The sequence below is a fragment of the Homo sapiens genome, chromosome 19 (genome assembly GCF_000001405.40).
Source record: "Homo sapiens chromosome 19, GRCh38.p14 Primary Assembly".
Classification (NCBI taxonomy): Eukaryota; Metazoa; Chordata; class Mammalia; order Primates; family Hominidae; genus Homo; species Homo sapiens.
The window spans coordinates 6,144,135-6,159,442 of NC_000019.10; the positions used below are offsets into that span (position 1 = coordinate 6,144,135).

The window sequence follows — 15,308 nt, forward strand, 5'->3', positions numbered from 1 at the left end:
CAACAGGCGCGTGCCACCACGCCTGGCTAATTTTTGTATTTTTAGTAGATACAGGGTTTCGCCATGTTAGCGAGGATGGTCTCGAACTTCTGATTTGAAGTGATCCACCTGCCTCGGCCTCCCAAAGTGCTGGAATTACAGGCACAAGCCACTGCACCCAGCCTACTGAAGTAATTAGTTAAAATGACGTCATGAGGTTAGGTCCCAATCCAATGTGACCAGTGTCTTTATAAAAGGAGGAAATAGAGACGAACCTGCACACACGGAGAATGTCATGTGAGGATCGAAGCAGAGTTTGCAGTGATGCACCTACAAGCCAAGGAATGTCAAGGATTGCCGGCAACCGCAGCTAGGAGAAAGTCATTGGTCAGATTCTCTCCCACAGCCTCAGAAGGAACCAGTGCTGCCTGCACCTTGATCTCAGACTTGTGGCCTCCAGAATTGTGAGACAATACATTTCTGTTGTTTCAGACACCCGGTCTGGGGCACTTTGTTATTGCAGTCCTAGCTAATTAATATATCAGTCATACCAGTGTCTGTTTTTTTTGTTGTTTTTTTCTTTTTCTTTTTTTTTCTTTGAGACAGAGTCTCACTCTGTCACCCAGGCTGGAGTGCAGTGGCACAATCTTGGCTCACTGCAACCTCTGCCTCCCGGGTTCAAGTGATTCTCCTGCCTCAGCCTCCTGAGTAGCTGGAATTACAGGTGCCCTCCAACCACGCCTGACTAAATTTTGTATTTTTAATAGAGACGAGGTTTCACTATGTTGGCCAGGCTGGTCTCGAACTCCTGACCTCAAGTGATCTGCCGGCGTCGGCCTCCCAAAAGTGTTGGGATTACAGGCATGAACCAGCCTGCTGTCTGTTGATGACTATCTGAACATACATCTCCAGTCCTTGGGTCCTACTACTGGCACCAAGCCAAGAGCCTTTAGAAGCCCATCTATGAGGCCCATGTCTAGTCAAGGGGAAAAAGTAGCATCCCGGCCGGGCGCGGTGGCTCATGCCTGTAATCCCAGCACTTTGGGAAGCCGAGGCAGGCGGATCACAAGGTGAGGAGATCGAGACCATCTTAGCCAACATGGTGAAACTCATCTCTACTAAAAATACAAAAATTAGCTGGGTGTGGTGGTGCCCACCTGTAATCCCCGCTACTTGAGAGGCTGAGGCAGGGGAATCACATGATCCCAGGAGGTGGAGGTTGCGGTGAGCTCGCATGATCCCAGGAGGCGGAGGCTGCAGTGAACTGAGATTGTGCCACTGCACTCCAGCCTGGAGATAGAGCAAGACTCCATCTCAAAAAAAAAAAAAAAAAGTAGCATCCCATCATAGGTGGATGTGCAATTTCCTTCCAACACAGCTGCCTACTCTACCATTGCCATCTACCACCTCCCCAGTAGACCAGGTTCAGTTGAACAAACGCAAGGTTACACACCCAATTCTCCAAGAGGGTCTCTTGGACTTTCTCTCACTTGCCCGTTACTGGGTGGTAGTGAGAAACACACAACAAACCAACAACTGTCTCCAGAGGAAACCCTGTTCTCTTCTTTCTCAGTGTCAACCCTTACTCATCCCCAAAAGAAGTGATAGATACAGGACCCCAAAACTGGTTTTGAATTGGTCCCTTTGCTAGTTCCATTTGGCTGATCTGGGTGATGTCGCTGTGACAGGCAACCCCCTCAACAACCCCCTCAACAACCTCAATGGCTTAACACAACACAAGTGTGTTTCTTACTCATGTTGTGTGTCTGGCATTGGGGGAGAGGGGCTACTTCTTCACATTTGCTCCACCATTTTTGTGACAGGACAATGGACGATGGGGAATTATGCACCGGGTCTTAAATCTTCTCCCCATGAACGACACACATAACTCACTTCTTATGTTTCATTGGCCAAAGCATACATAGTCCACTGCATGTACATTTTACCTTTAAAAAAATCTCCGTAAATAATATTAAATATGTGACTCTTGTTAATGATTTACATGCAAGGGTGTTTAAGGGTAAATGGATGAATAGCTTTGGCTCACTTGGAAATGCATCAAAAAATCAGATGGAGCCAGGCGCGGTGGCTCATGCCTGTAATCCCGGCACTTTGGGAGGCCGAGGCAGGTGGATCACTTGACGTCAGGAGTTCGAGACCAGCCTGGGCTACATGGTGAAACCCCATCTCTACTAAAAATACAAAAATTAGCCAGATGTGGTGGCGGGTGCCTGTAATCCCAGCTACTCGGCAGGTTGAGGCAGAAGAATCGCTTGAACCTGGGAGGTGTAGGTCGGGGTGAGCCAAGATCACGCCACTGCACTCCAGCCTGGGCAAAAGAGTGAGACTCCGTCTCAAAAAATAATAATAGGCCAGGCGCGGTGGCTCATGCCTGTAATCCCAGCACTTTGGGAGGCCAAGGCGGGCGGATCACCTGAAGTCGGGAGTTCGAGACCAGCCTGACCAACATGGAGAAACTCCATCTCTACTAAAAATATAAAATTAGCGAGGCGTGGTGGTGCATGCCTGTAATCCCAGCTACTCGGGAGGCTGAGGCAGGAAAAACGCTTGAACCCGGGAGGCGGAGGTTGCAGTGAGCCAAGATCGTGCCATTGTACTCCAACCTGGGCAAGAAAAGCAAAGCTCCGTCTCAAAAACAAAAACAAAACAAAACAAAATAATAATAAAAAAAATAAGATGGGGCCAGGTGCGGTGGCTCATGCCTGTAATCCCAGCACTTTGAGAAACTAAGGGAGGAGGATTGTTTGAGCCCAGGAGTTTGAGATCAGCCTCGGAAACACAGTAGAACCCCATCTCTACAAAACATTAAAAAATAAATTAGCTAGGCATGGTGGTGTTTGCCTGTAGTTCCAGTTATTTGGGAGGCTGAGGTGGGAGGATGGCTTGAGCCTAGGAGGTCAAGGTTGCAGTGAGCTGTGATTGTGCCAGTGCACTCCAGCCTGCTGACAGAGCAAGACCGTGTCTCCAGAAAAAAAGAAAGAAAGAAAAAAAAAATGGACATAACAAAGACAGCAGGATAGATGTGTGATAAAATATGGTAAAACGCTAGCAGTTGTAGAATCTAGGTGTTGGATAAGAAAGTATTTGGTATACAATCCTTTTGACTATTAAAATTTGGCGGGGCGGGGAATGAAAAAATAAATAAAGAGAAAGGAAGCTTGTCTTGCCAGTGTTGACCACATAACTTCACCCTAGAAGGGGATTAATTCAACTCTCAGCACCTTAGGTCCAAAAAGACACCAACCGCCCCCCGTCCAAAGTTATTAAATAAATAAAAACATTTGCCACCCAACTCTGGTGACTATTTGCAGTTACTCCCAGGCTGTGGACCACCTGTCGAGATGGAGAAGTCCTTCTGAGGCTATCCAAACACGGACCAGGCCATGAGACCCCGATGACCATCCCTGAATTTTTTCGAGAGTCAGTCAACCGATTTGGAACTTATCCAGCCCTCGCATCCAAGAATGGCAAAAAGTGGGAAATTCTGAATTTCAACCAGTACTATGAGGCTTGTCGGAAGGCTGCAAAATCCTTGATCAAGGTAAGATTCATTCATTCATTCTCCTTTGTTCAACCATTCATTCTGAATAGGTAACAGACATACATACATGTGGTACAAAATTCACAAGGCACCAAAAGATACAAAGGTTAATTGGCGAAAATTTCCCTCTGATTCATGAGCCTCAGCCACTCAGTTCCTCTCTGTGGAAGCGGTCACCATTGTCAGTTTTTTGTGTGTCCTTTTGGGAAATAAATTATGCATAAATATAAAATGAAATTTTTATATATGCAAATTTTTTACACACATAATAGCCTACTACACCCATGGTTCTGCATCTTGCATTTGTCCCTAACATACTATCTCTATGTTTTTGTTAGTTGCTGCTGCATAACAAATTATCCCAAAATATAGTGACTTGAAATGACAAACATTTATCATCTCACAGTTTCTGTGGATTGAGAATTTAGGAGCTACTTTGAAATTGGGTTCTTCTGGCTCCAGGTCTCTCATGAGGTTGCAGCCAAGCTATCAGCTGGGGCTATCTCATCTGAAGGCTCAACTGGGGCTGGAGGCTTCACTTCCAAGCTTACTTACCTAGATGACTGGTTGTTGGCAGGAAGTCTCAGCTCCTCATTCCATGGCCTTCTCCACAGAATTGCTTGAGTGTCTTCACGGCATGGTTGCCAGTCACCCCTAGAATGAATGAAGCAAAAGAAAGAGGGAACAAGGCTGGGGTCAGTGGCTCATGTCTGTAATCCTAGTGCTTTGGGACATCGAGGCAGGAGGATCACTGAGCCCAGGAGTTCAAGACCAGCCTGGGTAACATAGTGAGACCCCAGTCTCAATGAAAAATTTAAAAAGTAGCCAGATGCAGTGGCACATGCCTGTAGTCCCAGCTATCAGGAGGCTGAGGTGGGAGGATCACTTGAGCCTCGGAGGTCGAGGCTGCAATGACCTGTGATTGCACCATTGCACTCTAGCTGGGCAACAGAGTGAGATGGTGTCATAAAGAAAAAAAAAAAAAAAGAGAACCATGTGCTTGGGCTGGGTTTCTTCTTGGGGGCCCCACCTTCATACTATGTTGCTGTGGCTAGTTCATCTCTCCTGAAAGATGGTCTCCTTTAGCCATGTTCTTAGTTCCGTGGAGTTAAAGGTCCCCCTCCTCCCGTAAATCTTGGACACCTGACTGAGCACGGTGGCTCATGCCTGTAATCCCAGCACTTTGGGAGGCCAAGGTGGGCGGATCAAGGTCAAGAGGTCAAGAGTTTGAGACCAGCCTGGCCCACATGGTGAAACCCCATCTACACTAAAAATACAAAAATTAGCCAGGTGTGGTGGTGCACACCTGTAATCCCAGCTACTCAGGAAGCTGAGGCAGGAGAATCGCTTGAACCCGGGAGGCAGAGGTTGCAGTGAGCCGAGATTGTGCCACTGCACTCCAGCCTGGGTGAAACTCCATCTCAAAAAACAAACAAACAAACAAAACTTGGAGACCGAAGTAGAAACAAAACCAAAAATAAAAACAAACAAAACTACTTGGAGACCCAAGTAGAAATTAGTCGGTGTAACTAGGCATTAATAAAAACACACTCTGTCCACAATAAAGCCAGCCTTTTGGTTACTGAAATACTTGGCATCTCATTCTGAAGGACCAGCAGGCAAATGCCTTCCAAATGGTTCCTTTTCCCCCAAGAACAGCAGATCATTGCCAGCCGTGATCCCGTATGACTAAAAGAGCCAACAACGTTGGTTGGCAGTACCCAGAACAAAGAGGGAGTTTTCCCCTAAGGATGCTCACTTTTGTTTCTGAGTTTCCTGGTTCATTCTCACCCACATTCAGAACAAGTCTGTACCTTTACATGTGCAACTTTTTTTTTTTTTTTTTTTTTTAGACAGAGTCTCACTCTGTTGCCCAGGCTGGAGTGCAGTGGCACGATCTTGGCTCACTGCAGCCTCAGCCTCCAGGTTCAAGCAATTCTCCTGCCTCAGCTTCCCAAGTAGCTGGGACTACAGGCAGGTGCTGCCACGCCCGGCTAATTTTTTGTATATTTAGTAGAGACGGGGTTTCATCTTGTGGGCCAGGCTGGTCTCGAACTTCTGACCTGAAGAGATCCACGTGCCTTGGCCTCCCAAAGTGCTGGGATTACAGGTGTGAGCCACCACACCTGGCCTCAAGAGATCCACCCACCTCGGCCTCCCAAAGTGCTGGGATTACAGGCGTGAGCCACCACACCTGGCCTCAAGAGATCCACCTACCTCGGCCTCCCAAAGTGCTGGGATTACAGGCGTGAGCCACCACGCCTGTAATTTTTTTTAAATTAGACTCAGTGGAGCAGGCCCATAGTCCCAGCTACTCGGGAGGGTGAGGCGGGAGGATTGCTGGAGCCTGGGAAGTTGAAGCTGCAGTGAGCTATGATCACCCACTGCACTCCAGCCTGGGTGACAGAGCGAGACAAAAAATAATAATAATAAAATAAAATAAAATAAAATAAATTCACACCTTTCAAGATAGCTATTCTTTAAAAAATAGCAAAACACAACACGTGTTGGGGAGGATATGGAGAAGCTGGAACCCTTGTGCAGTGCTGGTGGAAATGTAAAATGGTGCCGCCACTGTGGAAAAGTCTGGCGATTTCTAAAAAAAGAAAAAATGTAAACAGAGAATTGCCATATGATTCAGCAGTCTCACTCCTGGATATTTAACAAAAAAAAAAAAAAAAAAGGAAAGCCAGAGACATGAAGAGTTATTTGTAGACTCAGGGTCATAGCGGCGTTATTCACAAGAGACAGAGGGTGGAAGCAGCCCGTGTGTCCATCAATGGAAGAATGGATAAACACGATGTGGTCCGCCCATACAAGGGAATATGATTCAGCCACAAAAAGGAAGGAAATTCTGACACATGCTACAACATGGATGAATCTTGAGGACATCATACTCGGTGAAATAAGCCAGACACAAAAGGGCAAATCCCGTATGGTTTCTTTCCTAGGAGGTCCCTAGAGTCGTTAGACTCATAGAGACAGAAAGTAGAATGGGAGGTGCCAGGGGCTGGGGAAGGGGATAGAGAGTGAGTGTTTTATACAGAGAGTTTCAGTTTAGAAAGAGGAGAAAGTTCTAGAGATGAACAGTGGTGACGGTTGTACAACCATGTGGATGTGTTTAATGCCACTAAACTACACTCTTAAAAATGGTCAAAACGGGCTGCGTGTGGTGGATTACAGGCGTGAGCACTTTGGGAGGCTGAGGCGGGAGGATTGCTTGAGGTCAGGGGTTCGAGACCAGCCTGGCCAACATGGTGAAACGCTGACTCTACTAAAAAAACAAAAATTAGCCAGGCGTGGTGGCGCGTGTCTGTAATTCCAGCTACTTCGGAGGCTGAGGCAGGAGAATCGCTTGAACCCAGGAGACGGAGGTTGCAGTGAGCCGAGATCGCACTGCTGGACTCCAGCCTTGGCAACAGAGTGAGACTCTGTCTCAAAAAAAAAAAAAAAAGAAAATGGTAAAATCCATGTTATAGATATTTTACCACAATAAATGAAACAAAACATAAAAATAAAAATAATAAATGGTGTGTTATGTAGAGGGAGGTAAACAAACCTCCCGTAGTCATAAAAATTAAAAATATTACACCTCAGATTTTAGGCTCAATGCTGTCTCCCACCCCGTGTGGCTACTTTTGTTTTGTTTTGAAACAGGGTCTCAATCTGTTGCCCAGGATGGAGTGCAGTGGTGCAATCATAGCTCACTGCAGCCTCGAACTCTAGGGCTCAAGTGATCCTCCTGCCTCAGCTACCCAAGTAGCCGGGACGACAAGTGTGTACCACCATGCCCGGCGAACTTTTCCACTTTTTTTGTAAAGACAGGGGTCTCACTGTGTTGCCCAGGCTGGTCTCGAACTTCTGGCCTCAAGCAATTCTCCCACCTCAACCTCCCAAAGTGCTAGGATTACAGGTGTGAGCCACTGCGCCTGGCCTCCATGTGACTACCTTTGATTCTGTCGTCACATATCCTAATGATATAACATCTCTGTGTTTATGTTTTGTTTTTCTGTTTGCTTTTTCCTTCCCAGCTGGGTTTGGAGCGTTTCCACGGAGTTGGTATCCTGGGGTTTAACTCTGCAGAGTGGTTTATCACTGCTGTTGGTGCCATCCTAGCCGGGTAAGGTCATTGGCTTGGTTCATGGTGAGGGTTAAGGAGCCGCTACCCTGGGCCTGGGACCCCTGGGCTTGTCCAGTGTGAGATGCAAACAGGAATTTTGGATGAACGCCCTAGTTAGCAGGCAGGATAGATGCACGAACAAATCATTCTGATCACAGGTCATACGCAATAACACCCATTAGACTAGCAGTCTCAGACCTCTCGATTTTCTTCAGCTGAAGAACTTTTTGCAGACAAAATAATAATTGTAGATAGCATTTAGAGGTTTCTGATTATGTGCAGAAGCATTGTGCTCCACGTGTATGATCCTGTAAAACCTCACGACAGCAATGTGAAGTGGGTCCTATCATCCCCTATCTACAGATGAGGAAACTGAGGCTCACACAGCCAGTGGGCAGCCTTGAAGTCTTGGGCTCATGCGATCCTCCCAACTCGGCCTCCAGGGTAACTGGGACTATGAGCACACACCACCACACCCAGCTAATTTTTTTTTTTTTTTTTTTTTTGAGACGGAGTCTCGCTCTGTCGCCCAGGCCGGACTGCGGACTGCAGTGGCGCAATCTCGGCTCACTGCAAGCTCCGCTTCCCGGGTTCACGCCATTCTCCTGCCTCAGGCTCCCGAGTAGCTGGGACTACAGGCGCCCGCCACCGCGCCCGGCTAATTTTTTGTATTTTTAGTAGAGACGGGGTTTCACCTTGTTAGCCAGGATGGTCTCGATCTCCTGACCTCATGATCCACCCGCCTCGGCCTCCCAATTTTTTTTTTTTTTTTTTTGTAGAGATGGTTTCTTGCTATGTTGCCCAGGCTGTAATCGTGAAAAAAACAAAAGTAAAAATAAAATACTGATTTCTTCTTGAGCTTGTAATTCTACCTTTGGGAGTTTTACTTAAAGAAACAAAACCAAAACATGAATATATTTTGGCTTATGCACAAAGATACTTCTTGGAAGTGTTATTAGTGATGGCAAAAAGTCGGGGACAACCTAAGTGTCCCACAGCTGTGGATTAAACCATGAGATGCCTTCTGGATGGGATTCTCGGTAATATTTTGAAATGATGGCTCTGAAGAGCACATTTTAAGCATTTTTGATGTCAGAGGTGACAAAGCAGGTATCAAAATCTTTATACACTGTATGGTTACAACTATGCTTAAAATTTAAATATCAGGCCGGGTGTGGTGGCTCACGCCTGTAATCCCAGCACTGTGGGAGGCCAAGGCAGGCGGATCACAAGGTCAGGAGATCCAGACCATCCTGGCTAACATGCTGAAACCCCATCTCTACTAAAAATACCAAAAAAATCAGCCAGGCGTGGTGGCAGGTGCCTGTTAGTCCCAGCTACGCGGGAGGCTGAGGCAGGAGAATGGCGTGAACCCAGGAGGCCGAGCCTGCAGTGAGCCGAGATCGCGCCACTGCACTCCAGCCTGGGCGACAGAGCGAGACTCCATCTCAAAAAAACAAAACAAAACAAAAAAATTTAAAATACCAACCATTAATATACCAATTATTGCTGGTCACTCTTACCTATATGATATCATTGACTGCTCATGGTAGCCCTTTGAGGTAGGTGCCATCATGATCCCAAGTAATAATGATGGTGACGATAATCTGGGACCAATAGAGGTTAAGTGTCTTCCCCAGAATCATGCTGTGGTTGGATAAAGACCCTGAGATCTGAACTCGTTTGTTCGACTCAAGATTAATAATAACAACAGCAACGACAGCAGCAGCAGCAGCCACGGCCATGACAAAATTGAGCGGCTGGGCACAGTGACTCATGCCTGTAATCTCAGCACTTTGGGAGGCTGAGATGGGAAGACTGCCTTAGCCCAAGAGTTCAAGACCAGCCTGGACAACATCGCAAGATTCTGTCTCTAAAAAATAAAATAAAAGTGTTTTTAAAATTAGCCAGGCATGGTGGTGTGTGCCTGTAGTCCCAACTACTTGGGAGGCAGAGGTGGGAGGATGGCTTCAGCCCAAGAAGTTGAGACTGCAGTGAATTATGATCATACCACTGCACTCCAGCCTGGGCAACAGAGTGAGACCCTGTCTGGAAAATAAAAGTAAAGAAAAGAAAAGAAAAGAAAAGGAAAAGAAAAAAGAAAAGAAGGAAAAGAAAAAAGAAAAGAAAAGAAGGAAGGAAGGAAAAGAAAAGAGAAAAGAGAGAGAAAAAAATTGAGGGTGGTGACTAGAAATAAATATTAACATTAGTTATATCTCATCATCGAGACTAACACCACCCTAATATGTTATATTCTATTTTCCAAATTTTTATGAGCATATACTACCCCTGTCTTACAGTGAGTTGAAATATATATATATTTTGAGGCCGGGTGCAGTGGCTCATGCCTGTAATTCCAACACTTTGGGAGTGGAACACCTGAGGTCGGGAGTTTGAGACCAGCCTGACCAGCATGTAGAAACTCTATCTCTACTAAAAAAAACCCCAAAAAATTAGCCAGGCGTAGTGGCACATGCCTGTAATCCCAGCTACTTGGAGGGCTGAGGCAGGAGAATCACTTGAACCCGGGACGCAGAGGTTGCAGTGAGCCGAGATCATGCCATTGCAATCCAGCTTGGGCAACAAGAGCAAAACTCCGTCTCAAAAAGAGAGAGAGAGAGAGAGAGAGAGAGAGAGAAAATTATTATTATATATATAAAATATATAATACATATAATAAATAATATATAATACATATAATAATATATAATATATTATATTATCTATATAGAGAGAGGTGGAGTCTCACTCTGTTGCCCAGGCTGCAGTGCAGTGGTGTGATCTTGGCTCACTGCAACATCTGCCTCCCGGGTTCAAGTGATTCTCCTGCCTCAGCCTCCCAAGTAGCTGGGACTACAGGCGTGCGCCACCATGGCTGGCTAAATTTTGTATTTTTGGTAAAGATGGGGTTTCTCCATGTTGGCCAGGCTGGTCTCAAACTCCTGACCTCAGGTAATCCACCTGCCTCAGCCTCCCAAAGTGCTGGGATTACAGGTGTGAGCCACTGTGCCCAGCCCAGAATAAATTTTAATGAAGAGATCTGTCCCCATTTTAGGACTGAATGGTAAGACAGTGTCATGCAGTGATTGGGCTCTGGTGCCACATCAGACCCAAATTCAAATCTTGGGTTGTCTGCTATTTTGTATTCTGTATGAATGAGCAGGAAAGCACACATCTCCATGCCTCACAGGGCTGTTATAAAGATTCAATAAGAGGATGCTTCATAAACCCTTAGCACAGTGCTTAGCAAATAGTATGTGCTTAAGAATGGTGATGAGAGTAACCATCTCAAATAATTATAATGTGCCTCATTCCCTGCCATATTAAAAGCACAACAACTAGATCAACAGAGCAGAGAGCCCAGAAATAGCTCCATGCATACATGGTCACTGGCTTCCAACAAAGGCAGCAGAGTAGTTCAGTGGTGCTGGACCAACTGGATATTTGTATGGAAAAATAAATCAGCCCTGATCCCTACCTCACATCATATGCAAAAATTAAATTGAGATGGATTACAGACTAAATCATGCAAGTTAAATTCTAAAGCTTCTAGAAAAAGAAAAGCACGGAATGGTTTCACAACCTGGGGGTAGTCAAAGATTTCTTAGACAGGACACAGAGAGCAAAAAGCATAAGAGAAAAAGTTGCCAAATAGGACTTTATTAGCATTAAAAACTTCTGCTTATTAAAAGACACCAACAAGATGAACAGTTGTCGAACATGGTGGCTCACGCCTGGAATCCCAGCACTTTGGGAGGCAGGGGTGGGTGGGTCACTGGAGTCCAGGAGTTTGAGACCAGCCTGGGCAACATGGTGAAACACCTTCTCTACAAAAAATACAAAAATTAGCCAGGTGTGGTGGTGCATACCTGTAATCCCAGCTACTCAGGAGGCTGAGGCATGAGAATTGCTTGAATCCAGGAGGTTGAGGTTGCAGTGAGCTGAGATTGCACCACTGCAGGCCAGCCTGGGTGACCGAGCTAGACCCTGTCTCAAAAAAAAAAAAAAAAAAATGGTGAACAGGCAAACTGCATACTTGGAGAAAATATTCTTAAAACTCGAATTTCTAACAAAGGACTGGTATCTAAGATAGATAAAGAAATTCTGTAACTCAGTAATAAAAAGGCAAAAAAAAAAAAAATTGAAAGGGGCAAAAGATTTCAACAGAAATGCCACAAAGGAAAGTAGCCAAAAGGCACATGTAAAGGTGCTCAATGTCATTATCCATTGGGAAATGCAAATTAAAAGCAAAAGAGGATGCACCCTGCAAGCACAAAAGGCTGTGAATGATGGGAACAGAGGCTGAGTCAGGAGTTCAGATCCTAGGTCTAACACCTACTTGCTGTGTAATCTTGAGTGACTTCACTGCTGGGCCCCTGTTTTTCTCATCTATAAAATGCGGTGTTCTAAGTGTTCCATGACCTGTTGTCATAGTGACATCATAGGAGCTGTCACTTATCATCATTGTCATTTTTGTTGTCTTCATCATTGTTAAGTTGGGGAGGAAGGGAAGCTGGTGCTGTGGCTGCAAACTTAAGAACTTGCCTGCAAACCTTTCCTCTCTTTTGACCTTCCAGACCATTCTGCCTTTAAGGTGTGTGTGGATGCACACACGAATTTGTTTTCTTTTCCCAGGGGTCTTTGTGTTGGTATTTATGCCACCAACTCTGCCGAGGTTTGTCAATATGTCATCACTCATGCCAAAGTGAACATCTTGCTGGTTGAGAATGATCAACAGTTACAGAAAATCCTTTCGGTAAACCCCTACCCAGCACTGCCTGCCAAAGTCACCCAGGGGTACCTCAGGGCTCTGGGCAGGTGTTCTTTTTTTCCCAGGTAAATTCTAATGATAAGATAGGGCCATGCATCTGTTCAGCGAGTCCTCCATGACCTCATTAGTATATGTGGTGAAGCTATTTTTGGAGAAGCAGACTGAAATAGAGGAGTTTGATTTCCAATTCATATTAACTTAGTTTAATACTCAGCCTCCATTTTTTTTTTTTTTTCGAGACAGGGTCTCACTCTGTCCCCAGGCTGGAGTGCAATGTCGTGATTGTAGCTCACTGTAGCCTTGAACTCCTGGTCTCAACTGATCCTTCTGCCTCAGTCCTCCAAGTAGCTGGGACTACGAGCGTGTACCACCATGTCAGGCTAACTTTTTTTTTTTCCGAGACAGAGTCTCGCTCTGTCGCCCAAGCTGGAGTGCAGTGGGCTGAACTCGGCTCACTGCAAGCTCTGCCTCCTGGGTTCATGCCATTCTCCTGCCTCAGCCTCCCAAGTAGCTGGGACTACAAGTGCCCACCATCACGCCTGGCTAATTTTTTTGTATGTTTTAGTAGAAACGGGGTTTCACCGTGTTAGCCAGGATGGTCTTGATCTCCTGACCTCGTGATCCGCCCGCCTTGGCCTCCCAAAGTGCTGGGATTACAGGCGTGAGCCACCGCCCCGAGCCCGGGCTAACTTTTAAAACATTTTTTGGGCCAGGTGTGGTGGTTCATGCTTGTAATCCGGGCACTTTGGGAGGCCAAGGCAGGCAGAACACCTGAGGTCAGGAGTTTGAGACCAGTGTGGCCAACATGGTGAAACTCCATCTCTACCAAAAAATACAAAATTTAGCCGGGTGTGGTGGCATGCACCTGTAGTCCCAGCTACTGGGGAGGCTGAGGCTGAGGTGGCAGGATCGCTTGAACCTGGGAGGTGGAGGTTGCAGTGAGCCAAGACTGAGCCACTGCACTCCAGCCTGGGTGACAGAGAGAGACCCTGTCTCAAAACAAACAAACAAACAAAAACCATTTTTTTTTTGTAGAGACAGAGTCTTGCTATGTTGCCCAGGCTGCTGTTGAACTTCTGGCCTCAATTGATCTTCCTGCCTCAGCCTCCCAAAGTGCTGGGATTATAGGCATGAGCCCCCATGCCCAACCTTAAGCCCCCACTTAAGTAAAAGTATTAATATATTTATGTATTATTTTATATACATCCCACTGCTAATTATTTTTTCTTTTAGAAGTGTGATGATTTCAAGCCCATGCTACTATATAATTTTCTTCATTTCTTGTCATTGTCTTCATTTCTAGATGCTTTTGTTGTTCTCTTCTATTTCTTGCCTAAGTTCTATCCCTTCCTGTTTCATTTTTTTCTAGTGTCCTGCTGTCTCTTCCCTGAGTGCTTGTATGTTTGCTTTGTGTTCTTCCTTTCTAGCTGTGTTTGCTTCATTACATTTTTAGTTTTATGTTGGAATGTTTGGTTACAATTTTCTTTTTTTTTCTTTTTTTTTTTTTGAGACAGAGTCTCGCTCTGTCGCCCAGGTTGGAGTGCAGTGGCACAATCTCAGCTCACTGCAACCTCTGCCTCCCAGGTTCACGTCATTCTCCTGCCTCAGCCTCCCGAGTAGCTGGGACTACAGGTGCCTGCCACCATGTCCAGCTAATTTTTTGTATTTTTTTAGTAGAGACAGGGTTTCACCATGTTAGCCAGGATGGTCTCGATCTCCTGACCTCGTGATCTGCCCGCCTCGGTCTCCCAAAGTGCTGGGATTACAGGCATGAGATACTGCACCTGGCCTTGGTTACAATTTTCTTTTGCATTGTGTTGAAATTATCCAGTGAGTTTTATTTGTGTACAGTGAAATTTAGCTGCTGTCTTACGTTTTTTTTTTTTTTTCATTGTAGTGTCTTTGTATGGCTATTGTCGAAACTTTAAATTTCCTACATGTTTGAATGAGCTGCAGTTTGCTGTATCAGCTTTTGGCAGGAGGGTCCTGGAGAGGAGGGGAGTCCCTGGGAGGGGTGAGCCTAGATGGCTAGGTTCATTTCAGCTCAAGGACCACTGTGACTGTTTCTTGAATACATGATTTCATGACTCTGAGTCACTCATTTCTTCACTTTTTCACATCTCTGGAGTCGAGATGTGTCTTTTCATTGATGGCATTCTCTGATCACTACTGGCCATATGTTTTCTCACATTTTATTCTCTCCGAAATTTGGGTACAGTTTCCAGATTCAATGAAATCCTAGCTAGACTCAGTGAAATACAACACTTTCTCCTGCCTGGCTTCCTTTGACTCCTAATTCCTGACTTGGTTCAGGAAGGACAGACCTCCACCTCTGGCCTAGAGCTTTTAAAAATTCTTTTCTTTTTTCTTTTTCTTTTCTTTTCTTTTTTTGTTTGTTTTTTTCTTTTTTTGAGACTGTCTCACTTTGTCGTCCAGTCTGGAGAGCAGTGGCGCCATCTTGGCTCACTGCAACCTCCACCTCCCAGGTTCAAGTGATTCTCATGCTTCAGTCTCCCAAGTAGCTGGGACTACAGGTGCACACCACCACACCGGGCTAATTTTTGCATTTTTTGTCAAGACTGGATTTCGCCATGTTAGCCAGACTGCTCTTGAACTCCTGGCCTCAAGTGATCCAATGGCCTTGGCCTCCCAAAGTGCTGGGATTACAGGCATGAACCACTGCTCACAAAATTACTTTCTTAAGTGATGCATCGGTGGTTCCCAAAACTCATGTCATACCTGTTTGTCCTCTTCCTAGCAGAACACACTATGGGGTGGGTGCTGGTGGGTGGGTGGGGTCCTTCTTCCAGCTGGGAATGCTGGCTTAATTTGAGTTTTCCATAACTGGAAAATGCCACATACACAACCTTCCCCTC

At 45.6% G+C, this 15,308-nt stretch overlaps 1 protein-coding gene and 1 long non-coding RNA gene across 12 annotated transcripts in view; one reads left to right on the forward strand and one right to left on the reverse strand.

Moving 5' to 3' along the window:
- LOC105372255 (uncharacterized) overlaps window positions 1–15,308 on the reverse strand; it is a 74,099-nt gene that overhangs the window by 18,709 nt on the left and 40,082 nt on the right. Inside the window, exon 3 of the long non-coding RNA NR_187772.1 lies at window positions 4,097–4,195. This is a non-coding gene — a long non-coding RNA (uncharacterized LOC105372255). The remainder of the gene's footprint in view (window positions 1–4,096; window positions 4,196–15,308) is intronic.
- The window catches only part of ACSBG2 (acyl-CoA synthetase bubblegum family member 2), a 57,459-nt gene that overhangs the window by 8,502 nt on the left and 33,649 nt on the right, over window positions 1–15,308 (forward strand). For 8 of the 11 annotated variants that reach the window (NM_001289177.2, NM_030924.5, XM_017027333.2 and 5 more), the window contains exons 3-5: window positions 3,312–3,541; window positions 7,573–7,661; window positions 12,297–12,417. In NM_001289177.2, coding sequence (NP_001276106.1) covers window positions 3,312–3,541; window positions 7,573–7,661; window positions 12,297–12,417 — 440 coding nt within the window. Of the gene's footprint in view, window positions 1–3,311; window positions 3,542–7,572; window positions 7,662–12,296; window positions 12,498–15,308 lie in introns of those variants that run through there. The other 3 variants (NM_001321384.2, NM_001289180.2, XM_047439478.1) reach the window with 3 other exon arrangements.